The sequence below is a fragment of the Homo sapiens genome, chromosome 13 (assembly GCF_000001405.40).
Source record: "Homo sapiens chromosome 13, GRCh38.p14 Primary Assembly".
NCBI lineage: Eukaryota > Metazoa > Chordata > Mammalia > Primates > Hominidae > Homo > Homo sapiens.
In genome coordinates, this window is record NC_000013.11 from 52370164 (window position 1) to 52394974 (window position 24811).

General features: G+C 43.1%; 1 protein-coding gene across 2 annotated transcripts in view, besides 2 other annotated features; it reads right to left on the reverse strand.

The window, feature by feature from the left end:
• Positions 7004-24811, reverse strand: part of THSD1 (thrombospondin type 1 domain containing 1) — a 29006-nt gene continuing 11198 nt past the window's right edge. The window contains exons 4-5 of one of the 2 annotated variants that reach the window (NM_018676.4): positions 15865-16023; positions 7004-8626 (exon numbers count right to left, since the gene is read on the reverse strand). In NM_018676.4, coding sequence (NP_061146.1) covers positions 7248-8626; positions 15865-16023 — 1538 coding nt within the window. In that variant the 3' untranslated portion in view covers positions 7004-7247. The remainder of the gene's footprint in view (positions 8627-15864; positions 16024-24811) is intronic. The other variant, NM_199263.3, reaches the window with a different exon arrangement.
• Positions 7265-7766: an enhancer, noted in NCBI's record as "H3K27ac hESC enhancer chr13:52951563-52952064 (GRCh37/hg19 assembly coordinates)". NCBI's record gives its function as "activates a minimal SCP1, AML or CMV promoter by ChIP-STARR-seq in naive H9 embryonic stem cells {active_cell/tissue: H9 hESC(naive)}" and the evidence as "EXISTENCE:reporter gene assay evidence [ECO:0000049][PMID:30033119]".
• Positions 7767-8266: an enhancer, noted in NCBI's record as "H3K27ac hESC enhancer chr13:52952065-52952564 (GRCh37/hg19 assembly coordinates)". NCBI's record gives its function as "activates a minimal SCP1, AML or CMV promoter by ChIP-STARR-seq in naive H9 embryonic stem cells {active_cell/tissue: H9 hESC(naive)}" and the evidence as "EXISTENCE:reporter gene assay evidence [ECO:0000049][PMID:30033119]".

The window sequence follows — 24811 nt, forward strand, 5'->3', positions numbered from 1 at the left end:
TACAGGCATGAGCCACCGCGCCCGGCCTTTTTATTATCATTTCATATACTTCAACCTGATAAATAAGTATAGCAAATATTAATGGTTGTTTCAGCCTGGTGATAAATATATGAATGTTACTATCCTATTCTTTCAACTTTTTTGATTACTTGGAAATTTTATTAATAAAGTTTTGAAAAAAAACAAAATAAGAAAAAAAGTTTGACATCAAACTCACGGAGGAAGTGAATGCTACTTTTACCACTTAGTACCTAATGATGGCAACAATGCCAAGAGAAGTTTCCGGGGTGGGAGCTGTTGGGGGCACCTGAGGCAGCTTTATTCCATCCACATCTTCCATTAAGAAGGCTTATTGCCACCCACAATAAGCATAACCCTACCTAAGAATAGTGTGCTTGGCTACTCTGGGCATACTGCCTATGGGGTACTCCTGCTCTGCAAGGAGCAGTAAAAAAAAAATTTAAATTAAATTAAATTAAAAAACAGTGTGCTTTAGCCCAAGCCTCCTAAGCACTAGATTTTGGCTCCTAAGGCGCACTAAGTGGATGCTTTGTGACCTGGGCGAGGTGCTTAATTCTCCAAGGACTTAGTATTAAGTAAATATGAAGAATAAGGAGGAAAGAGTTCAGGATGACTTCCACATTTCTGGCCAGAGTGACACCTTAGGAAGAGAAAGCGTAAGCATCCCTGGGGAGTTAGGAGTTATTTCAGGCCAAAGCACTGAAGGAAAGAGAGACCTTAAAGAGAAGCTTTAACAGTGGTATATTGGACTCAGTGCCGTCTTTTTATTTAATTATTTAATTATTTACTTATTTTTATTTTTTTACTTTTTGAGACAGAGTCTCACTCTGTCACCCAGGCTGGAGTGCAGTGGCCTGATCTCGGCTCACTGCAACTTCCGCCTCCTGGGTTCAAACAATTCTCCTGCCTCGGGAGAATCCTCCGAAGCAGCTCAGACTGCAGGCGCGCGCCACCACACCCGGCTAATTTTTTTTTTTTTTTTTTTTTTTTTTTGAGACAGAGTCTTGCCCTGTTGCCCAGGCTGGAGCACAGTGGTGTGATCTTGGCTCACTGCAAGCTCCGCCTCCCCACAGCCGGCTAATTGTATTTTTAGTAGAGACGGGGTTTCACCATGTTGGCCATGCTGCTCTCCAACTCCTGACCTCAGATGATCTGCCCGCCTTTCCCTCCCAATGTGCTGGGATTATAGGCATCAACCACCCTACTCAGCCTATATAGCCATCTAATTTAATATTGACCAAATGAAATTTCTTTTTGTACCCCAAGCTGATGAAGAGGAATGGAGCAATTTTGTTTTTCAAATATTCTATAATGAGCATACATTATTTTTAAGGAAAAATTATTTTTAAAGTGGTTCTACGGTATAAAACTCAGAAAAAGCAAAATTTTAATTACAAGTAATTATATAATTATCAGCTAAATAGTAAACTTTTAAGTTCATACATTTGAACTTTTATCAATCAATTTATAATAATAAAATGCCACGTGATGTGTTTTGGCAACAGTTGAGGGAGAAACTGGTAACAGCAGCAGCAGCAGGATGGGGGGGCACCACACCCACCCACCCACACCGGCAGCAGAGGTGGCATCCTGAGAAGAGGCAGGCAGTGAGAGACTGCCACAGCTGGAATGACCAGAGAACCATCAGCAGGGCAGGGCAGCTGTCGGCATGAACCATCTAGTCTCCCCAAGGAAGGGAAAAAATGGTGTGGGGGAGGTTGGAGATCCATTAACACTAGGAGCAAATCCTCCCCCTAATAGCCACAAGATGACTCACCGAATATATTTCCAGACATTAAAATAGATTATCTCTGATACCTACCAGGATTGTTATGTTTGGTTTTTGTTTTGTCAATGTAAAAAAAAGAAAAAAAAAAAGGTTAAGAGTAGAGGAAGACCTAGAACAAAAAGCAATTGTTCCTTGCTTTTTATCTCCCCAGCCTCAGTCCCACTTCCAAAGGGCAACCACTTTGACCTTTGTGGTTTTAAATTCTCCTGATGATCTTCAACTGTATGAATAGGATTAAGCTGCTATTTTGTGACACTATTGACTCTTGCAAGGACTGATAAAAAGTCAGCTTAATTCACCCCCCTAAGGTGCACATGATAGTTAACATCACAATTTTTAGTCCTATTGTCCACTCTAGTAATTTTGATATCCTTAAACTTTTGTTTTTAGTTCTATTAAATACAGACAGCACCTCTTGGCTCTCCATTTTGTGACAGGAGATTTGAACTCCTATTTCTCTTGAACTCCCCACCTTTGCTTCTACCTCCAAACTTCTTATTTTTTAGAAATGAGGCCTCCCTCTGTTGCCCAGGTTGGAGTACCTCTGGTGCAATCATAGCTCATTGCAGCCTCAAACCCCTCTACCTCCAAACTTTTCAAAGCTGTACTCTCCTAGATATCCATGACTGACAACATTTATATTCCCTTCAGTAACTATTTTTTTCTTTCTTTCTTCTTTCTCTCTCTCTCTCCCTCTCTCTCTCTCTCTCTCCCCCTCCCTCCCTCCCTCTCTCTCTCTTTCTTTGCTTTTTTTTTTTTTTTTTGACAGAGTCTCACTCTCTTGCCAGGCTGGAGTGCAGTGGCGTGATCTCAGCTCAGTGCAACCTCCGCCTCCCAGATTCAAGTGATTCTCCTGCCTCAAGCCTCCCGAGTAGCTGGGTCTATAGGCATGTGCCACCACACCCAGCTAATTTTCATATTTTTAATAGAGACAGGGTTTCACCATGTTGGCCAGGATGGTCTCAGTCTCTTGACCTCGTGATCTGCCCTCGTTGGCCTCCCAAAGTGCTGGGATTACAGGCGTGAGCCACCGCGCCTGGCCTGTCTTCCATAAGTTGGTTCTAATAGACAATAACCAATAAGCAGCATTAACATTATGAAAATGTTGGTCCACAGCAGAGCCAAGTAGTATGCTGTGATTGATTTTCCTCTGTGTAATCACAATGTCTCAACCCTGTGCTTCTATTTCTCAAAATCATGGTTAGTTTACTTTGTTGTTGTTGTTGCTTTGCCTAGTATTTTTTTGTTGTTGAAAGAAGAAATCTGTGCCATCTTACCCATTCTATTTCTTGGAATATTTTTCTTTTGAAAGCCCATTGATGACTCAGTTTAACTTAATTCATATTTGTTTTATGGTTTTCTTATAGAGTCTTTCAGAAAATAAAATTTCTAGGTGCTTATTTTCCTTTTCTTTGCCTGAAGTATATCTTCAAGTTCTTCCAACTGTATATTCCATGAAACACCTTTGTTTCCTGGATCCCCCATTCTTGCTCAAATATGAACTGGTGGCTTAGTCACCCACAAAACTGACATTCTGAGTCACATCTGCAGCTGCCTGAATCCCATGGCTTCCTCAGGATATTCTGCTCTTTTATTGATGGAGTACATGCTCTAATAACTCCTCAAGAAAAGGTGCCTGGCAGGTAAGCTTTCTGAGTCTTTGCATGTGTAACAATGTCTTTATATTGCCCTCGCAAGTAATTTGACTGGATAGAGGCGTCTCAAGTTGAAAATCATTTTCCCCCTGAACTTTCAAGCTATTATTCCACCATTTTTAGTGCAGCTGATGATCAATCTAATGCCAGCATGCCTTTTGTTTCTTGTAGAAGTTTGTGTTCCCGTTTCTGGAAAGCTTTTGAATAGCTGGTCATTTACTGAACAAATTTTATTGAGCTGCTACTCTATGGCAGCCACAAGGGCTAGGACTTAGGGACACAATGGTGAAGACTAGATTATTTCTAATGAAGTTTCCCACATATCCACCAAAGACAATGCTTGAGGCATCTTCCTTTTTCTCAGAGGCAGAGACCAAATTAGCTTAACTTTGAAATACAGAGATTTTATTTATTTATTTTTTTTGAGACAGTCTTGCTCTGTCACCCAGGCTGGAGTGCAGTAGCACAATCTTGGCTCACTGCAACCTCCGCCTCCCAGGTTCAAGCAATTCTCCTGCCTCAACCTCCCAAATAGCTGGGATTACAGGCGCCAGCCACCAAGCCTGGCTGATTTTTGTATTTTTAGTAGAGGCCGCGTTTTGCCATGCTGGCCAGGCTGGTCTCGAACTGCTGACTTCCGGTGATCTGCCTGCCTCGGCCTCCCAAAATGTTGGGATTACAGGCGTGAGCCACCATGCCTGGCCCAGAGATTTTATTCTTAGAGCTCCAGAAAAGTGGGCTAGGTAGATAGAGAAAATGTTAGATGCTGGTGTTAGCTCACTGCGATATTAATTTAGATGTCTGATTATAACGGATAAGAACATAATTTAACAGAAAATCTTTCTGTTCATAGTATTTTCCTTTACTTTCCACCTTTCCCATATCTGTTTTGGTCTGACACTGTAGGGTACATCACTGTGAAATCAAAAACAAGCAAGCATGTACCCTTTGTCCTCAAAGGTTGGCATGCAGGCCTGTGAACTTGGAAAGACAACAAAGCTTTCTAGCATGATAAACAAAGAAAATGAAGATTAAAAAATCTGGTTTCCTCTTCCTGGCATTAGCAAATACCAGCTGTCCGAGAACTCTGAATAATCTACTCCTCTTATTCCTAAAAGGTAATTAATGTTAAAACATTGCCGAAAGGAGGTATATTTTGATTTTCAATTAAAATGACACAAATGAAGTGGCAATGCAACAAATATGAGAGAAAAATAGAAAACTGCAGTATTTGCATTTGTGATATTTTTCCCATCTAATTTCACTCTCTCCAATGGTCCCTGAAACATCACCTGCAGGCTGACATCCTGATAAACTCTAAAAGGAAGACAGAAAACAAAATCTAAAAGGCAGGGTGGGTGTGGCAGTTAGAGAGGTCACCACGAAAAAGAAGAAAAATGCAGCTACTCTAGGGATACAGATAAGTCATTAGGGTCAAGGGTTGAAAGGAGTACATGAGATTGCAGACTGCCCATGTGGTAACTAAAACTAATGACAGACTTCTAATAAAGGAACAAAACCTTTAGATTCTTTTGTTTGGCCTTTACTGCCAAAAAAAGCAAGTTGCAAAACCAGTCCTAACATTTCATTAAGCAATGGAAAGCTTCTTTCCATTGGGAAAAGCTAATAGAAGTGTCTCTTCATACCCTCTTAAAAAGGGCCAGGTTTCTCCTGATGTTTCTGCTATTAGAAAAGACTTGTAGACTGAGCATGGTGGCTCATGCTTGTAACCCCAGCACTTTGGGAAGCCAAGGCAGGCAAATCACTTGAGGTCAGGAGTTCAAGACCAGCCTGGACAACATGGCGAAACCCTGTCTCTACTAAAAATACAAAAATCAGTCGGATGTGGTGGCAGATGCCTGTAATTCCAGCTACTCAGGAGGCTGAGGCACGAGAATTGCTTGAACCCAGAAGGCGGAGGTTGCAGTGAGCCAAGACTGTGCCACTGCACTCCAGCCTGAGTGACAGAGGGAGACTCTGTCTCAAAAAAAAAAAAAAAAAAGACTTGTAAAGTTTGTGATGGTAGAGTGGAAAGAGCATGATATTTACAATAATGTTATCAGTGCATGTCCTAGCCAATCCTGTTATTCTCCCTGTATCTCAAATGTCTTGTCTGTGGCCAGGTGCAATGGCTCATGCTTGTAATCTCAGCACTTTGGGAGGCTGATGCAGGTGGATCACGAGGTCAGGAGTTCGAGACCAGCCTGGCCAACACAGTGAAACCCCGTCTCTACTAAAAATGCAAAAATTAGCTGGGCCTGGTGGCAGGTGCATGTAATCCCAGCTACTCAGGAGGCTGAGGCAGGAGAATCACTTGAACTCGGGAGGCAGAGGTTGTAGTGAGCCAAGATCATGCCACCGCACTCCCACCTGGGTGACAGAGCTAGACTACGTCTCAAAAAAAAAAAAAAAAAAAAAGCTTTGTCTGTAAAGTGTAGAAGATTGCAAACACAAACAAAAGGGATTCTAAATGTCTAAAAAGGCTTATTTCCTTCTTTAATTCATTCTTCTAACTAAAAAAGCTTGGCTGGGCGTGGTGGCTTACACCTGTAATCCCAGCACTTTGGGAGGCCGAGGCAGGCAGACCACGAGGTCAGGAGTTCCAGACCAGCTTGGCCAACATGGTGAAACCCTGTCTCTACTAAAAATACAAAAATTAGCCAGGCCTGGTGGTGAGCACCTGTAGTCCCAGCTTCTCAGGAGGCTGAGGCAGAAGAATCGCTGGAACCCAGGAGGTGGAGGTTGCAGTGCGCTGAGATTGCGATCGCGCCACTGCACTCCAGCCTGGGCAACACAGCAAGACTCCGTCTCAAAAAAAAAAAAAAAGCTTAAACTGTAAAAAATTGTAAACTGTAAAAACTATAAAAAATTGTAAACTGTTCTACTTACTTTACATATACCTAATTAATGCATTTTCTGAACAACATGATAAAGTTATGTTTAAGAAAAACATACATGCACCAGTTCTCACGCTGAGGTATCTGCTGCCAGTTTGGTCCAGGAACATGTAATCAGCATCCTGGTCCCAGGTAGTGGCATGGTCAGTACCTACTGCCCATTTCCTCAGAAGACAATACTGTCCTTTCCAAAATGTTTACTATTTATTTGCTCAGAACAGATAGGTCTTCATTTGACTCACTACCTGAACCACCAGCTTCTTACATTATCTCTTTAAAGCAGAATTAATTCATATAATTTTGTCAAGTCACCTGGACTCAACTCTAATCTGAAAGTTCTTGAATATCTGTGGTATCACCATTTCTAAGTAGTTCAGCAGTCTAATGGTCATAACTAACTTAATCAGCCAAATATGAAATCTGTTTGATGCTGCCATTGTAGGAGTCAAATTCTTAATGTATTTATAACTTAATAAATTGCAATTCAGAATTATGACACTAAGTTAACTTCGCTCCATCCCTTTTTAGTTGAGGTTCCAGATTTCTGCTTCAGGTTGGAAACTGCCAATGCAATGTTCAGAGCATGTTCTACTCAAAAGTCACATCTTATCTTTCATAGCCACATGACAGACCAAGCCCCATTTGCTCATTTACATTTTATTATCATTGTTATTACTAATAAATCAATAGAAATTGAATAACAAAGGAAAAAGCTCAAGATAAATAATTTCTTCCTTGTGAATTCAAACACATGCATACACACACATCCTCCTCTGTGTGTTACTTCCTCCTCACATTCTGTCCTACGGTACAAATAGTTACACAAAAGTCTACAAAACGCGAGTAGCAGACCCCAGCTGTGTAAAGCTCAGGCTGATTCTCAGTCTAGATCACCAGCTTCTCCACGCTAAGTGTACTTGTGGTTTCATCCTCTTCATTTGACCCAAAATATCCTGGGAGGTCCAGCATCCTCTGCTCAGCCTCAGTGAGGCCAAACGACGTATTGTCATAGAAGGCAAACTCAGGGTGAGTGGGGAAGCTTTGACACTTGTCTTTTCTACACTGAGAAGGGCTCAGAGAACTGACCCTCTGGTAGTTATCTTTGGGGGATATGGGAGAAGACTGCTTCCTTGAGACACTCTTGTGACTGGGGGACGGTCCCCGACGAGCTCTGTGGGGCTCTGTTCTCTCAATTCCGGCCACTAATCCTGCCTGGTGATCCCCAAGGTCTGGTTTCCTCAAGGGCTGCCCCAAAGTGTAGGATTTAGGGAGAGGGTTTAATGGACCACGGGTTCCACTTGCCTCTTGGAAATGCTCCAGTTTTTCAGGAAACAGGTGGGCACCTCGACTCTGAGGCCTAAATCTGTCCTCTGCCTGCTCGCAGGTCCGCGTCCTAGAGCTGTAGGCAGGGGCCTGCCGTGGAGTCAGAGTGGACATGCTCCTCTCTCGGAACGGCCGGGCCTGCCTGGCTTCATGGAAACTCGCTGTCCTCCTGAAATGGGCGTTCCTGGCATGGCTCCTTTCGGACGGGCCCCCTCTGCTGCCCACGTGCCTTGCCTGTGACTTGCGGATCAGAGTCTGGCTGGGGCTTATGGCACAACTGGCCTGAGTCACATTTAGATCCAGCCTGGAGGGAGGCCTTTCCCCGGCACTGACCGCGGGCTGCTCCGGAAATGGGGATTTGATCCGGAACTTGTTTGCTGCAGCTTCTTCCGGGCTTTCCAAATCTAAGGGAGCGCTGGGGGCCGCATCAATGGCAGTGTCTGTCAGGGGACTCTGAGACACGTGATACACTTTGGTAGTTTCCGTCAGACCTTTCTTTTTCATCTCCTTTAACTGCTGCTGGGCAAGGCGGTAGCTGAACAGAGGTGGGATTATCTTCTGGGCGTTGGACTGGAAGCTCTCGCTGCCAGAGGCATCATCCTCGGGAGGTACCGGCCCGCTCCGCCTGTAGGTCAGAGGGATGCCTGTGTCCCCTGGACTCCCCGTGGGCCCGTCTCCCCCATCCGAGAAGCTCCCGCGCTGCTCGCTCAGCTCGCAGATATTCTCCTCGTCCGAGTTCTTCCGGAAGCTGGGGGAGTGGATGGAGTTGTGTCGAGCAGGTGTGCTGCACTTGGCTGGCCGGCCGAACCTCCTCCACAGCGTGATGAGCACAGTGGCAATGATGATGAACAAGCACAAGGATATACCAGTGACAGTCACGATGTTGTTGGACTTCACTGGACCCTGGGGCTGAAGAGGAGATGGGCTGGATGGCTGGAAAGCTGCAAAAAAAAACAAAACAAAACAAACAAACAAAAAACACAGAGGAACAGATGTATTTTTACTTTTTCTTTTCTTTTTTTTTTTTTTTTTGAGATGGAGTCTTGCTCTGTTGCCCAGGCTGGAGTGCAATGGTGTGATCTCGGCTCATTGCAACCTCCGCCTCCCAGGCTCAAACAATTCTCCTGCCTCAGCCTCCCAAGTAGCTGGGATTACAGGCATGCACCACCACGCCTGGCTAATTTTTTTGTATTTTTAGTAGAGCTGGGGTTTCATCATATTGGGCAGGCTGGTCTTGAACTCCTGACTTGTGATCCACCCGCCTTGGCCTCCCAAAGTGCTGGGATTACAGGTGTTAGCCACTGTGCCCAGCCCAAATATGTATTTTCTAGTATTGTTTGCTCTGCACGGTTTTAAGGTCTCTGAGTCACTCACTCTAATTATCTAGCAGTTAAGGAATGATGGAAAATAAACAAGGACTGGGATTTCTGGTCTTACATATGGATTTCTGCTGGCAGCTGAAGCCAAACAAGATCACCAAAGGGGAAACACTGCAAAAACAGAGACCCACAGAAGCGAGGTGACCTGGTAAGCCATAATCAAGGTGACTCCCATGCTCACCAGCTCCTGCTGGAATTGGCCTCCAAGTTTCCACACAGAAGTAGCATGTAGAAATTTTCTTTTTCTTTTTTTTTTTGTTTTGAGACGGAGTCTTGCTCTGTCGCCCAGGATGGAGCACAGTGGCACGATCTCGGCTCACTGCAACAACTTCCGCCTCCACGGTTCAAGTGATTCTCCCGCCTCAGCCTCCTGAGTAGCTGGAACTATAGGCGCATGCCACCACCCCTGGCTCATTTTTTAATTTTTAGTAAAAACAGGGTTTCACCATGTTGGCCAGGATGGTCTTGAACTCCAGACCTCATGATCTGCCCACCTCGGCCTCCCAAAGTGCTGGGATTACAGGTGTGAGCCACTGCGCCCAGCCAGAAATTTTCAAGATAAAAGTCAGTGTTCACTTACGATAATGTAAACATGGTACCTATTGTTAAATGTACCTCTGAGAGGCACATCGGAAGTATAAAATGTGAAATGCAAAATGATTTAGGTAGGCCAAATTTAGGTTCCTACATATGTACATCTTAAGGGAAATTAACTGACGAAAGTAAGACTTGGCAATACATAATACAACTCATTTCCCCCTTCTATTATCCAGAAATTGTCTTTCCTAAGCGTTAAAGCCTCTGCATTCTCTCTCTTCTATTTTCAGCCATCCACTCCCCTTCCTACCTTCCATTGTGAGGGGTACTTTTCTTCTTTTTCCCTCCTCAAACTGGTTTGTCCCACGGTCATCAAAATGTTTCATCAAAATGCAGGCACCACCTGGAGCCTCCACCTGTACTGCCACCAAAACACCTGGAAACCTGAGACCAACTAATGCCACCTGACCCTCCCCTCTCTTTCCCCTTTGGTCACCAGTCCTATGGCTTTTTTTCCCATGTTTGTATCACCACCAGCTCTGTGCTTCATCTTCTCCACCCGTCCTCCCACTGCCCACTCTTTGTACTGTCCCCTAGGGGACAGCTGATTACAAATTCCCCAACATCCCTAACTGCTCCACAGAACACCACCTTCACCTCCTTGTCCCAACTGAAGCCAGGCTACCCTGCAGGGCATGGTTTCCCCCAATCCTCTCAGTGGAAGCTGTCACACATAGTTTCTTTTCCTTTTTTTTTTTTTTCTTTTCCACCTCCTGGGTTCACGCCATTCTCCTGCCTCAGCCTTCCGAGTAGCTGGGACTACAGGCACCCACCACCACGCCTCACTAAATTTTTTTGTATTTTTAGTAGAGATGGGGTTTCACCATGTTAGCCAGGATGGCCTCGATCTCCTGACCTCGTGATCTGCCTAACTTGGCCTCCCAAAGTGCTGGGATTACACATACTTTCTTTATAAGTAAACAGGGCAAGAAGCAGAGTGCGTTCCCCAAGCTCATTCCTATTGCTCTTTCCAACCTGTGCTCTTTCACCTCCATAAAAAACTTCCATTCCTTTGATGCCCATGCCATCCTTGCCAACCACCGTTCTACTCCTCCCTCAACACCATCATCTCCCAACCTCCTGCTAGCCATCAGTCACTCTAGCACCTGGGTCCCAGCCTCCCTCACTATGCCAGAGCTAGGACCATCCAGGTGGCTTCAGGTCCATCCAACATATAGTACCTTCCCACTCTCTGCTCCTCTTCTAAAATCTTAAACCGCTCAACCCACTCTCTAGCTGTGTTCACTACTCTCACTCACTCACTATTACTACATTAAGACTTCTGATTCTCCAGCCCTCCATTTTCTCCCATCTGCCAGACACTTCCCAACCTCACTTCTCCCCCTAACCAATTTACAACCATGATCCATTACTGAAACCATTTTCCTTCCAACAACCTCAATTCTCTTGACCTCTAATACTGAGCTATACCCCTTCCCCTGCTCTGCAGCAGAAGTCTGACCCTAGACATGTGAACCTCAGACACGTGAATTCCTAGCTGCTGCACTGGTGGAGAAAATGAACAACCATGCAGGTCAGTGCCCCTGCGCAGTCACAGCACCCAACCTCAGCTGCCCACAAATCCTTCCATGGGTCCCCTAAAACACCTGCTTCCAATTTCACCACTTTCTTAAGCCCCCTATCCAATCCACTTCCTTAGCACTCTAATAGGTCACACACACACAAAATAGAAGCCATCAGGCAAGTACATGCCCAGCTTCTTCTGCAATCCTCCTCTGCCCCATAAACTTATTAGCATCCACACCTCTATTTACCTTTTTTCCACATAATCAGTGGGAGAACTGTCCTCCTATAAAAGGTGAGGCCACAAGCAAATGCTTTCTAGGACTCCTTTGTCCAGGGGCATCATTCCTCTGCAGCAATTATCTCCAGCTGCTCCTCTATTAGCTCCTTTTCCTCAGCACATAAACATACTCAATCTCTTTGCACTTTAAAAGGACCCTTCTCCAGCCCTCTCACGCTCTCAGACCTATCTTGCTCCTTGTCTTCCCAGCCATGCTTACTGAAAAGAGGGGTCTGCATTTGCTTACTGCTCCTACATCACCTGTCTCCTGCAACCTATCCCCAAGATTCCAATTAAACAGTTCCCACCAAGGTTATGAATGACCTCCCAATAGTCAAATTCAAAGGAGTTCGTTCTGCAGCATTGGCTACTGTTATATAGCTCTTGCAACTCTCTCTCTCCCTTTTGGTTTCAATGAGAACATTCACTTATGTAATTTAGAGAGAAGAGCATGAATTTTAGATCCAAGGAGAGCTACAGTCCATTCCTGGCTCCACTAGCTCTACTATCTCCATTGGCTGTCCCACGACCTCCATCTCAAAATGCCCAAGACTCACCATCTTCCCCTACAACTTGTGCTTCCTCTGATATATCTGATCTCAAAGGAATGGAATCACAGTTCACACAGTTGCCAGTACTAAAATCCTGGGTTTCATCCTTCATGCTCCCTCTCCATCACTTGCCACATACAGAGTCTGAATCCTCCTCTCCCTCCATCACCATTGCTGGCACTTCATTTTGCACATAGGTTCCTGAAAAATTTTTCTCAACAGGTACATCTGCTGCCATGCCTAACCTTCTGATTTATACTCCTTGCTACAACCAGATAGAGATACCACGAAAACACAGGTCCCAACCTTCAAGGCCCCTCAGGATATTAATCCCGTTTACTTGGCTGGCCTCACGTCTCCCACCCCTCCCTGGCACACTATCATCCAGACACACTAAACTACTTTCAGTTCTCCAGGTCTCTTAATGTGCCATCTTCCCTGCCTTCATTCATTGCTCCCTTTGCTAAAACTCCCATTTTCACCTGCTTCACCTGAGGGACACCTCAGCTTCCAAACTTCAGCTCAAATATCACCTCCTTGGCCGGGTGTGGTGGCTCATGCCTGTAATCCCAGCACTTTGGGAGGCTGAAGTGGGTGGATCACTTGAGGCCAGGAGTTCGAGACCAGCCTGGCCAACATGGTGAAGCCTCGTCTCTACTAAAAATACAAAAACTTAGCCGGGTGTGGTGGTGTGCACCTGTAGTCCCAGCTACTTGGGAGGCAGAGGCAGCAGAATCGCTTGAACCCAGGAGGCGGAGGTTGCAGTGGTTGAGATCATGCCACTGCACTCCAGCCTGGGCAACACAGCAAGACTCTGTCTCAAAAAAAAAAAAAGTATCACTTCCTCCAAGACTGGAGATGTCTTGGGCTTGGATTGTCACTCCTGAAAGCTTCTATAGCAAGCTGTGGGTACATTTTTCATTGCAGGCCCTATAATATTGTACTGAGTATTAAGCCTGTTTATGTGCCTTCTGAGCTACTATAAGCCCCTTCAAGACAGTCATATCTTATTAATACATTCCCGACCACAGTCACAGCAACTTGCATAGTGCTCATAAACACTAGTTTAACTGATTGATTCATTCCTTCATTATTAAAAAGGCAATAGCAAAATGATCAATATTCCACCAGATGGAACATCAGTGCAACAGCAATTTAATTATACTACTCTCTTGTTGAATAAGATAGACCATATAATGTAGAACTACATTCAGACCTTGGCATAAGAACATTCTTTTAAAGCCAAACCAACCTCTGAACTCCCAAACAAGTAAAAACAGTTGAATGATGAAAGGCTTGTTCCCTGATGTATCACTTCCTTCACCTGCAGTGGCTGCTCATGACAGTGGGTAGCAGCATTGCTATTACACACCATGAACCTCTTCACTTGACTCTGTTATCTTTTTACTCTGGCTGGCTTCCTTTAAAATCACAGCTGGAGAAAAGCCCAAAAGCTGCTGGCCTCGCCCATCTGTATCTCTAGTTTTTCCTCTTTCAGCTGAAGTAAAGGAGATTGTTGATGCTATGCAGCCTGTGAATACATCTTTACATTTCCAAAGAATGGAAAATAGGTTGACTAGGACAAAGAGCACACTTGGAAGAAATGATCATTTTTATCCACATAAGCAATATCTGAGGACCATTTACAGTAGGGGCAGGCAAGTCTGTAGGACTTACCTTTTTGCTAACTTAGAATGCACAAATTTCCAGTTCCTACTCAGTATTAAAGAATTAAGATGCCGGCTGGGCGTAGTGGCTCTCGCCTGTAATCCCAGCACTTTGGGAGGCCGAGGCAGGCGGATCACCTGAGGTCGGGAGTTCGAGACTAGCCTGACCAACATAGAGAAACCCCGTCTCTACTGAAAATACAAAAATTAGCTGGGCGTGGTGGCACATGCCAGAGGCTGAGGCAGGAGAATCGCTTGAACCCGGGAGGCGGAGTTGCCGTGAGCCGAGATCGCACCATTGCACTCCAGCCTGGGCAACAAGAGCGAAACTCCGTCTCAAAAAAAAAAAAAAAAAAAGAAGAAGAAGATGCCAGAATATGACATAATATCACATTTCTCAAAAATGATTGTTAATTCCAGGTTGTTGATACTTCTTCTAGAAAGCCAGATTGGCCTGTATATAAAGGCAAGGTATTCAAGATCGATAGCTTAGCAAGAAGTCAAATCCAGTGCCCCTACTTTCTAGCTTCATGATCTTGGACAGGCCACCCACCCTCCCTATCCCACAGGGTCCTCATCTGCAATGTGGAAATAAGAATATGCCTACTTTATGTGTGCAAGGTCCTTAGAAAAATGCCTGGCAGGCAGTAAGCTCTCAAGAGGTCTGAGCCCAGCATAATGATACCTACCTTGTGGAATTACGGTGAGCCTTAAGTGAGATAATGTATTTTAAGTGTTGTCACACAGCAGATAACCAATTAATGGTAATAACAATAAATAAATATTGTCACATATAAAAGATTAGTTGTCACCAGTGGCCACTGAGTTTAAATTCATCTGAGTGTTATGGAACTCAGATATGAAATGTCTGAACACATGATCCCATCCCAGAATTGAGAGAATAAGGTGTATTTGAGGGAAGTTATACACAAGGAAGGTGCTGTGGAAAGTGAAGAGGACTTATAAAGAAAAGAGCAGACAGAGAAGAGAGCCTTGGACAACAGTATATCACTGAAGAAATAATGGATTCAGGGTGGGGCCTATGAAAGACAGGCAGATGGAGGCTAGGAGAAGAGGAAGCTACAATAAGAAAAAAAAAAATAGGAGAAAGAATAATGTCCTAAAAATGCTGGAATGAAGGGAACAGAGCCTATGATACTGGCTGGAAAAATGATATAGCAAAAAGGATTTTCTAAGGCCACAGGTGGGGACACTGGCTGAGATGTTGCCAGGTGCCTGTGGTTTGGGCTAAAAGGTACTCTGAGATCCAAACACAGAAAAGCACATAACTCCTCCATATCCCAAAGAAACAAGGAGCTAAGATGGTCTTTTAACCTGGAATTGGAGAGTACAATGACAAGATAAAATCCTTGACACAAGGACTTTTATCTAAGAGTCAGGACCAGAGCAGAGGCTGGCAAAGTAAATGTGGATTGTCTGTCAGGAGGCGGGATGGTGTGTGGAAAAAGCAAGGACTATTCAGTGTGTAACTCATGGTAAATGAACAGGATTTAGCTCCACAAGCTGGGGCAAACCTAACTGAGCCGTGTGAGCAACATATCTATAGACTATTTAGATCAAATACTCACTGACCAGCTACGAGTATGTGCCTTGAAGATGCTTAGAAGATACAGGAAAGGCCAGTCTTCGGATGACAGCATGAAGAAATGTCCCTCTGGGTAGGGGCAGTAAGGAATAACTTAGGCCACTCAGGGTATAGGACAGGGAGTCTTGCCCCATTTTGACAAATAATGGTCTATGTGGTCCCCTGGCTTTTCTGGGTTGATAGGGAGAAAAATTAAGGAAAACTGTTTTTCCACAGTTTTGGTGGGGAGAAACAGAGGGAGAAAAAACAAAAAAATCTTATGAAGAAATGATCCTTTCCCCATTTTTTGCATTTTTAGAAATTATTTAATATGTCTGAATCCTTAATATTTCCTTATTATTTCCTTATCTTCTACAGTGGTAAATCCCATTATCTCACTGGTAAGCTACTCTCCCAGCTATTCCCGGTCTTAGATACACTAACAAATACAGGGTTAGTACAACCAACAGCAATCACAGAGCATTAATGAGTCTACTCCTGATCTTAGACTGGTAACTCTCAGGCAGGCCTGGGTTCAATATTCCTTCTGATGAAGGCTCTGAGGAGAGACTCCCGAAGGAAGCAAGAATACCTACCAGCACACTCCTCCAGGGAACACAGGGAGGCCTCCAAGGACATTCCAGGGCAGACAGGACTGGAGGGGAAGGAAGTGAGACACACTCGGCGACGCTCTCTGACACCATCCCCACATGTGGCACTACACTGGCTCCATGGCTGCCACAGTCCCCAAGTTTCTGCAAGGATATAAGTTATGCTTTTAATGCTAGTTCATTTGAGAATCAGTATTTAACTGCACCCAAATGAAACAGCAAAACTCAAATCTCAGGTCTTGAAAAGCCCGTGAGTTAAAGCGTTCCCAGAGATGAAGAAAGCTGAAAAGAGTTGCTCCTAACTTTAAAACAAAGAAAAGCTGTATAATTTAAAGATCTTAACCTTTCCAGAACCCAAAAAAGAGCTGAGGTCGCAGGACAACTAACTGTGCTGCAATAAAAGGAAAGATAGCATCTTCCAAGGAAAAATGAGATGCAACTCTTGTTTACCAGGGGCAGACACCAGGCTGCATACAAGGTGGTAAGAAGAGTTCACTTAAAAATGTAATGAACTGCCAAAAGCCTAGTGGAGTAGCACAGAATATAGAACCCCTACGACTCACATACACAAGCAGAATTTATACCCACTTGCAGACTCTTCTCCACAGATCTCATCAAATACAAGAAGCACTGGGGGCAGATGCAAGACCAGACAAAGCCTCCCTCATGGTGGAGGCCCAAGGAGGGAAGGGGCAGCACTGTGGAAAAGACACAGAACCTCACCTGTCCTCTCTCCATTTCCTCTACTGAATAAAAGCTTCAACCACTTGGGGAAAGGCCTCAAACCCTATTATCCTAAGAGCACCAGTTGATATCAACTGCTTCTAGAGAATGGAAAAAGAAACTCCTTCACCCTTGGGGAAGAGCCAAAAATATCCTGGACCCAGACTATTAGAGATCATCTACCACTGGGGAGGCGCAGGATCATCAAGAAGGTCCCATTCCTGAAACTTAGGAACACAGCACTTGCCTAAGACTGAGGCTGAACTAGTACAAGGGAATGCCCTCCCTCTACTCCAGGCTAGCAAGTGCCAAATATCAAATAACAACAGTCTACTTCTGGGGAAGAGGCATAGCAAAAGATGAAAGCCTCTCTGATGTGCAGGCTCACACCTAAAGCTGAGGGTGGGACAGAAGCATGGAGGAAACCCCTATAGTCATGCAATGCCTTCCCTAAACACAAAATAACACTCAAAAAATGTCAAATGTGATAAGCACTGAGGGTAGCCATAACAATGGTAAAAACCCAAACATAGCTCAATTCTTTACTATATTAACCCAATACCCAAACTAAAGGCCTAGCAAAAACAGAGGTATGACCATTTCCAGGCATAAATACCTCCATGTCTATAGTTTCAAACAAGGTGTCCAGCTTTCAACTCAAAATTATTAGGCACAAAAAGCAAGGAAAAAAACCATAAAACTATTAAGAGACAAAGTAATCAAGATAACCAGACTCAGAGCTGACCCAGATATTAAAACTCTCAGAGAGAGAATGTAAAATAGCTACGATAAATATGCCAAAAACTTTAGTGGAAAAGGTGAACAAGATGCATAAACAGATGGAAAATTTCATCAGACTGTTAGAAACTAAAAAGTCAAATGGAAATATTAGAATTTTAAAATATGGTAACACAGATGAAGAAGGCTCATCAATAGACTTGACACACAGCTGAGGAAAGAAACAGTAAATGTGAATACAAGTAAATAGAAATGTCCCAAACTAAAAAACACAAAGAGGAAAAAAAGAGTACATAAAACAGAATAGAAGACCTAAGAGCTGTGGGGCAATATCAGACTCCCATACATGTAATTGGAATACCAGGAGAAGAAGATAGAGTAGGACACAATAAATAAGTCCAAGAACTCTCCAAAGTTAATGAAAGACTCCAAACCACATATCCAAGATGCTCAGAAAACACCATGCAGGATAAATAGAAAAAGCAATACTGTACCCAAACTGCTGAAAACCAAAACCAAACCAAAAAGTTTGAAGGCTGTGGCTGAAGGGTGGGAGAATATACCACCAGAGAAGAATGACAATAAGAATTACAGCTGACTTCTTGACAAAATTATCCAAGCCAGAAGATAAGAGAATGTCATCTCTAAAGTACTGAAAGAAAAAGCTACCACCCCAGTAAAAAAAAAAATATATATGTATATATATATTTCAAAAATAAAGGAGAAATAAAGACTTTTTCAGAAAAACAAAAATGGAGATCATGCATGTATTACTAGCAGTCCTTCAATACAAGAAATGTTCAAAGAAATCCTTTGGGCAGAAAGAAAATGTTACCAGACAAAAATCTGCATTTATATAAAGAAATGAAGAGTGCCAGCAATGGTATATATAAAGGTAAAAATCATTTTTCTCATTTTTAAATGCTCTAAAATATCACTGATAGCCTAAAACAAAATAGCGGCAATGTATTATTTGTTTTGTTTTTGTTTTTGAGACAGAGTTTCACTCTTGTTGCCCAGGATGGAGTGCAATGGTGCGATCTCAGCTCACCGCAACCTCCACCCGCCTGGGTTCAAGCGATTCTCCTACCTCAGCCTCCCGAGTAGCTGGAATTACAGGCATGCGCCACCACATCCAGCTAACTTATGGTATTTTTAGTAGAAACGGGGTTTCTCCATGTTGGTCAGGCTGGTCTTGAACTCCCAACCTCAGGTGATCTGCCCACCTCGGCCTCCCAAAGTGCTGGGATTACAGGCATAAGCCACCACAACTGGCCGTATTAAGTGTTTAATAGCATATATAAAGTAAAATTATGACAACGATCACACAAAGAATGGGAGGAGTGAATTGGGAGTGTATTGTTCAAAAGTCCTTATACTACATGTGAAGCAATATAATACCTGGAGGTAGACTGAGAGTAAACATATATATTATAAACTCTAGGACAACCACTAAATAACACTTTTTTTTTTTTTGAGACAGATCTTGCTCTGTCGCCCAGGCTGGAGTGCAATGGCGTGATCTCGGCTCACTGCAACCTCCACCTCCCAGGTTCAAGCGATTCTCATGCCTCAGCCTCCCAAGTAGCTGGGATTACAGGTGTGTATCACGATGCCCAGCTAAGTTTTTTGAATTTTTAGTAGAGACGGGGTTTCACCATGTTGGTCAGACTGGTCTTGAACTCCTGATCTCAAGTGATCTGCCCTCCTCGGCCTCCCAAAATGCTGGGATTACAGGTGTGAGCCATGGCGCCCAGCCCACTAAATACATTTTTAAGGTATAAATAATAAACCAATAGTGTAGTTAAAGTAAACCATTAAAATATTCAATTAATCTAAAATAAGGCAGAAAAAAAGATGAAAAAACAGAATGGATGTAACAAATATAAATCCAGCAAAATAAATCCAACCATATAATGATAAAACTAAATAATCTAAACACTAAGTTAAAAGACATAGATTGTCAGATTAGATAAAAAAGCACAATCCAACTATTTTTTTTAAAGCCCACTTTACGTATAGACATATATATGTTAAAAGTAAAAAAACGGAAGATATGCCTTATGAACACTAATCAAAAGAAAACTAGAGTAACTACATTAATATCAAACAAAATAGACTGCAGAACCAGGGATATTACCAGGGATAAAGAGCAACATTATATAGTGATAAAAGGGTCAATTCAGCAAGGAACCTTAATCCTAAATGAGGATGTACCTAACACCGGAGCTTCAAAATACACACAAAACTCTCCCAGCCATTATTGATTGATAAATGTGAATTTCTCATCCAAGCAGATACGTAATCACTGCCAGACAGAACAAATGAGTAATTTCCCTATAAATAATTATTCTGGTAGTCATGGTGGTGCGCTCCTGTAAATACCAGCACTCTGGGAGGCCAAGGCAGGTGGATCACTTGAGCTCAGGAGTTTGAGACCAGCCTGGGCAACATAGCAAAAACCCATCTCTACAAAAAATGCAAAAATTAGCCAGGGATAGTGCCATGCACCTGTAGTACCAGCTACTCGGGAGACTGAGGTAGGAGGATCACCTGAGCCAGGGGAAGTCGAGGCTTCAGTAAGCCACGATCACACCACTGTACTCCAGCCTTGGCAGCAGAGTGAGACATTGTCTCAAAAAAAAAAAAAAGAATTATTTTAATAATTCTGTCTATCAGTACCCATCCAACCCCAAGACCTATCAGATCTTGCCAACACTGGCCACCAAAACACACTCTGCATAAAACACTCTCTTCATCCTTTATGGACAGAAACTTCTAATGCAGCCAAAGGTATACAAAGCACTACAAAACATAAAACGTGTAGGGCAGATGCATTCTCAGGTGAGCCAAGTGGTGCAATCTTTGGAGTGAGTAATGGAATATGAGTTCTTTACAGCAATTAAAAGGATTTTCACAAGAGTGGGAGGACTACAAACCAGTATCCTGGACCAACATCAACTGAGATGTGCTAATTATGTTCCATCTAGAGGTCCAAGTGAACACAATATTGGTTCTGTGCCTCCAAGATCACACTGGAGCTCCTCATACAGCATAACAATGAGCTGGCTTTGTCTTCAAAGCTTCAGAGATGTTCCCATACTAAGCCCCTCTGCTTGAAAAGCTTTGAGAATCTCCTATTAAAGTCTCTCTGAGTTATAGTATTGTGATTTATTTTGGGAAAATCTACTGGAAATCCGACTACTGTAAAATCTGAATTAAAAATTAAGTCAATATATAGTTTATCCTTCTCCATGCTCATATTTAGGACCACAAAAGGTAGAATTACACATGCTAAGAATCTTTTGTTGTTCCTTCTGAACTCTTTTGCTTTATATAATTTATTTAAGTGCATAAAGTCATTTGTCAAACTAAAAATAAAAATTCCACTAGTGAGGATCAGAAAAAAAATCAGTTTTGATTTAAAAAAGTATATTTGTTAGATTAAAAAATTATATGTATATATAAATAATGGAACTCATATTCCATTACTCACTCCAAAGATTGCACCACTTGGCTCACCTGAGAATGCATCTGCCCTACACGTTTTCTTTATGTTTTGTAGTGCTTTGTGTACCTTTGGCTGCATTAGAAGTTTTCATCCATAAAGAATGGAGAGAGTGTTTTATGCAGAGTATGTTTTGGTGGCTAGTGTTGGCAGGATCTGATAGATCTTGGGGTTGGATGGGTAATGATAGACAGGGGACTTAGAATAAATTTTTTTTTTTTTTGAGACAATGTCTCACTCTGCTGCCAAGGCTGGAGTGCAGTGGTGTGATCGTGCCTTACTGAAGCCTCAACTTCCCCCTGCTCAGGTGATCCTCCTACCTCAGCCTCCCGAGTAGCTGGTACTACAGGTGCATGGCACTATCCTTGGCTAATTTTTGCATTTTCTGTAGAGATGGGTTTTTGCTATGTTGCCCAGGCTGGTCTCAAACTCCTGAGCTCAAGTGATCCATCTGCCTTGGCCTCCCAGAGTGCTGAGATTTACAGGGGTGTGCCACCATACCTGCCAGAAGTATATATATATATAATTTTACATATATATATATATTTTTTAGATGGAGTCTTGCTCTGTAGCCCAGGCTGGAGTGCAGTGGTGCAATCTTGGCTCACTGCAACCTCTGCTTCCCAGGTTCAAGCAATTCCCTTGCCTCAGGCTCCTGAGTAGCTGGGACTACAGGCACGTGCCACCATGCCCGGCTAATTTTTGTATATTTGGTAGTGATGAGGTTTCACTATGTTGGCCAGGATGGTCCTCAATCTCCTGACCAAGTGATTCACCCACCTCGGCCTCTCAAAGTGCTGGGATTACAGGCGTGAGCCACCGCAGCCGGCAAAAATCTTAATGTCAAAAAAATCTCATTTTGAAATGTTGTGTTCTTTTCCCTTGAAAGTAAAATCATAGGCCAGGCACGGTGGCTCATGCCTGTAATCCCAGGACTTTGGGAGTCCGAGGCAGGCGGATCACAAGGTCAGGAGTTCGAGACCATCCTGGCTAACACGGTGAAACCCCATCTCTACTAAAAATACAAAAAATTAGCCGGGCGTGGTGGCGGGCGCCTGTAGTCCCAGCTACTCAGGAGGCTGAGGCAGGAGAATGGCGTTAACCCAGGAGACGGAGCTTGCGGTGAGCCGAGATCGCGCCACTGCGCTCCAGCCTGGGGGAGAGAGTGAGACTCCTCTCAAAAAAAAAAAAAAAAAAAAAGTAAAATCATAGCATGTAGGATACCACACAATAAAACAAAATGAACATTTAAGCTAAGCTTTTATGTCTCCATTTCTAAATCAAATTAATCAAACAGTAAACACAGGAAATCACTCAAAGCAATGATCAAATTTAAGTAGGCAAATATTTGTAAATGTCTTAAGTAACTCCATCTGATCCCTGAGATCTCCGCTAATAACTCTGAGGAAAATACTTGGCAAAATGGGAACTCATTAGATAACTGTAGTTCATATGTTAGAAATGAAGAGCAAAATGACCAATACTCCAAATAGTCCTACTTCACGAATGAAAAGCTGTTTTGTTTTGTCTTGTTTAGACATCCATACATGTGCTCACACTACATAACAAACCTGTTTGTCCAGGCTAAATGCCTTTCAGCCTATTATAGAGGGTTTTAATTTTGAATAAGCAAAATATGCCTTAAATGTGAAAAGGGAGGTTTGTTTCTACCCATAAAGCTATCTGAAGGAATACAGCTTTGAAATATTCACATCTGCAAGGCATTTTGTTCAAGAAACCAAGGTAACTAAACAAATCACGATTATAAGAAAATTCTATAGACATAAGGGAGTAGCTATAAGCAGTAGGAAGAGCAGTAGCACCTGGGATAAGCAGTTCAGATTTTCTTTGCATAGACAAGGCTTCCTTATATTGAACAAATCATACTTATGCTTGGGCCTGTGGGCTCCCAAGTGGTTACGGGTGTTCCAAGAGATGGGTGGCACAAAATGAAACAGTAAGTTAAGGAGGAAAAAACAGAGCCTTTTTTTTTTCAATCTAAAAGCTTTGTACTGTTTAATACATGGATTGACAGTCAATTGCATAGAAGGCAGTTACAGAATAGTGGTCAAATTAAACTCCCAAGCTAGTCTACCTGGATTTGTGTTCTGACCCTTCTATTTAAACACCATTGACCTTGGACAAATTACTAACCTTTCTGTGCCTCCATTTCATCACCTATAAAATTGACAATGTAATGAAATGAGTTGAACTCATAAACTTGTTATGAGGACTATATGGGTTAATATCCATAAAACAGTTAGAACAGTGCCTGATGCAAAGTAATCACTGTGTAAATATTTATCCCATTAAGTGGAATAAAGATTATAAATAGTCATTTTTGGCAAATCCATTATGTATTTGCTATCAATTGTTATTTACATATTATCCTAAGATCCTCAGACATATTTGGAAGAAGAGACAAACATAAAAACACAGAAATCAAGACCATCCTGACCAACATGGTGAAACCCCGTCTCTACTAAAAATACAAAAATTAGCCGGGCATGGCAGTGCATGCCTGTACTCCCAGCTACTTGGGAGGCTGAGGCAGGAGAATTGCTAGAACCCGGGAGGTGGCAGGTGCAGTGAGCCCAGATCGCACCACTGCACTACATCCTGGGCGACAGAGCGAGACTCCATCTCAAAAACAAAAAACAAAAACAAACAAACAAAAAACTATTATTCTAGTTTCAAAAGGAACTAATAAATTCAGTGTGAGTCAGTGGCTTACACAAGTTATGGTGAGTCCCTAAATGGTACCATTTGGCAAAAAAGACACTCTTTACTGGTCAGAGATAGAAAATAAAAGGAGAACCCAGTTCAGTCATAAATTTTATACTAAAAACACAGGAAGTCACTGAGGTTCCTGTCTCAAGCATAAATTTCATTTCTCAGACCAACAGAGTCAGAGATGGTCTGCCACACCAAGAGCCAGGGTCTCCAGGCATGTTTAGCTCCCCCAGTTACTGCCCCCAGCCCTATTGTTCTAATGTGTCTCGCAGTTGGCTGCATGGGGCAGCCCCACAGGGAGCCCCTGACTACCCTCCACCTAGACACACAGAGAACCACTCCCGTTCTGCCCTTTTCCAGCGTCTTCCTGCTGCTGCTGGTGTGGGAAAAACTCCAGCCTTTAGACATGGAATGGAAGCATCTGTGGAAAGCCCAGCAGCTGGGAAAACCACCAAGGTGGCCCTCCTGCCCCCATGTGACCTTAATTAAATGGCCCCAATTTATTGACTTCCTTTGATTCATTTTTGCTAAGTTCAGTCAGTTTTTTTTCCCCATGAATATTTTCTTTTGAAAAGGCAAGAATATTGGGCCAGGCACGGTGGCTCATGCCTGTAATCCCAGCACTTTGGGAGGCCGAGGCAGGTGGATCACCTGAGGACAGGAGTTCAAGACCAGCCTGGCCAACATGGCAAAACCCCGTCTCTACTAAAAATACAAAATTTAGCCAGGCATGGTGGGGCGCATCTATAATCCCAGCTACTCAGGAGGCTGAGGCAGGAGAATCACTTGAACCTGGGAGGTGGAGTTTGCAGTGAGCCAAGATTGTGCCACTGCACTCCAGCCTGGGCAACAGAGCAAGACTGTCCCAGAAAAAAAAAAAAAAAAGAATATCTTAGATGAGTAAATTCTTTCAACCTAATTGTTTTTCTCCTAATACCTAGTTGAGACTAGCCAAATCTGAGTTCAGTTTTCACTTAATAAGCATGCATTGAGCACCTCTGAATGTGCCAGGCATACTAAGTGGGCCAAATAAAGACCATAAAAAGCTTCATAGCAGCACGAGTCAGGTTTTGCCACCAAATGAGCTTCCCCCATCTGCTGTGCAGAGGGGATTTATAGGGGGAGAAAGATATTAAACAAGCAATGGCAGAAGTGATAAATGCCATCAAAGAGGAACGAAAAGATGCTGCCCCAGCTTCCAGGAGAGGAACTGAACCTGAGGTCATGGAA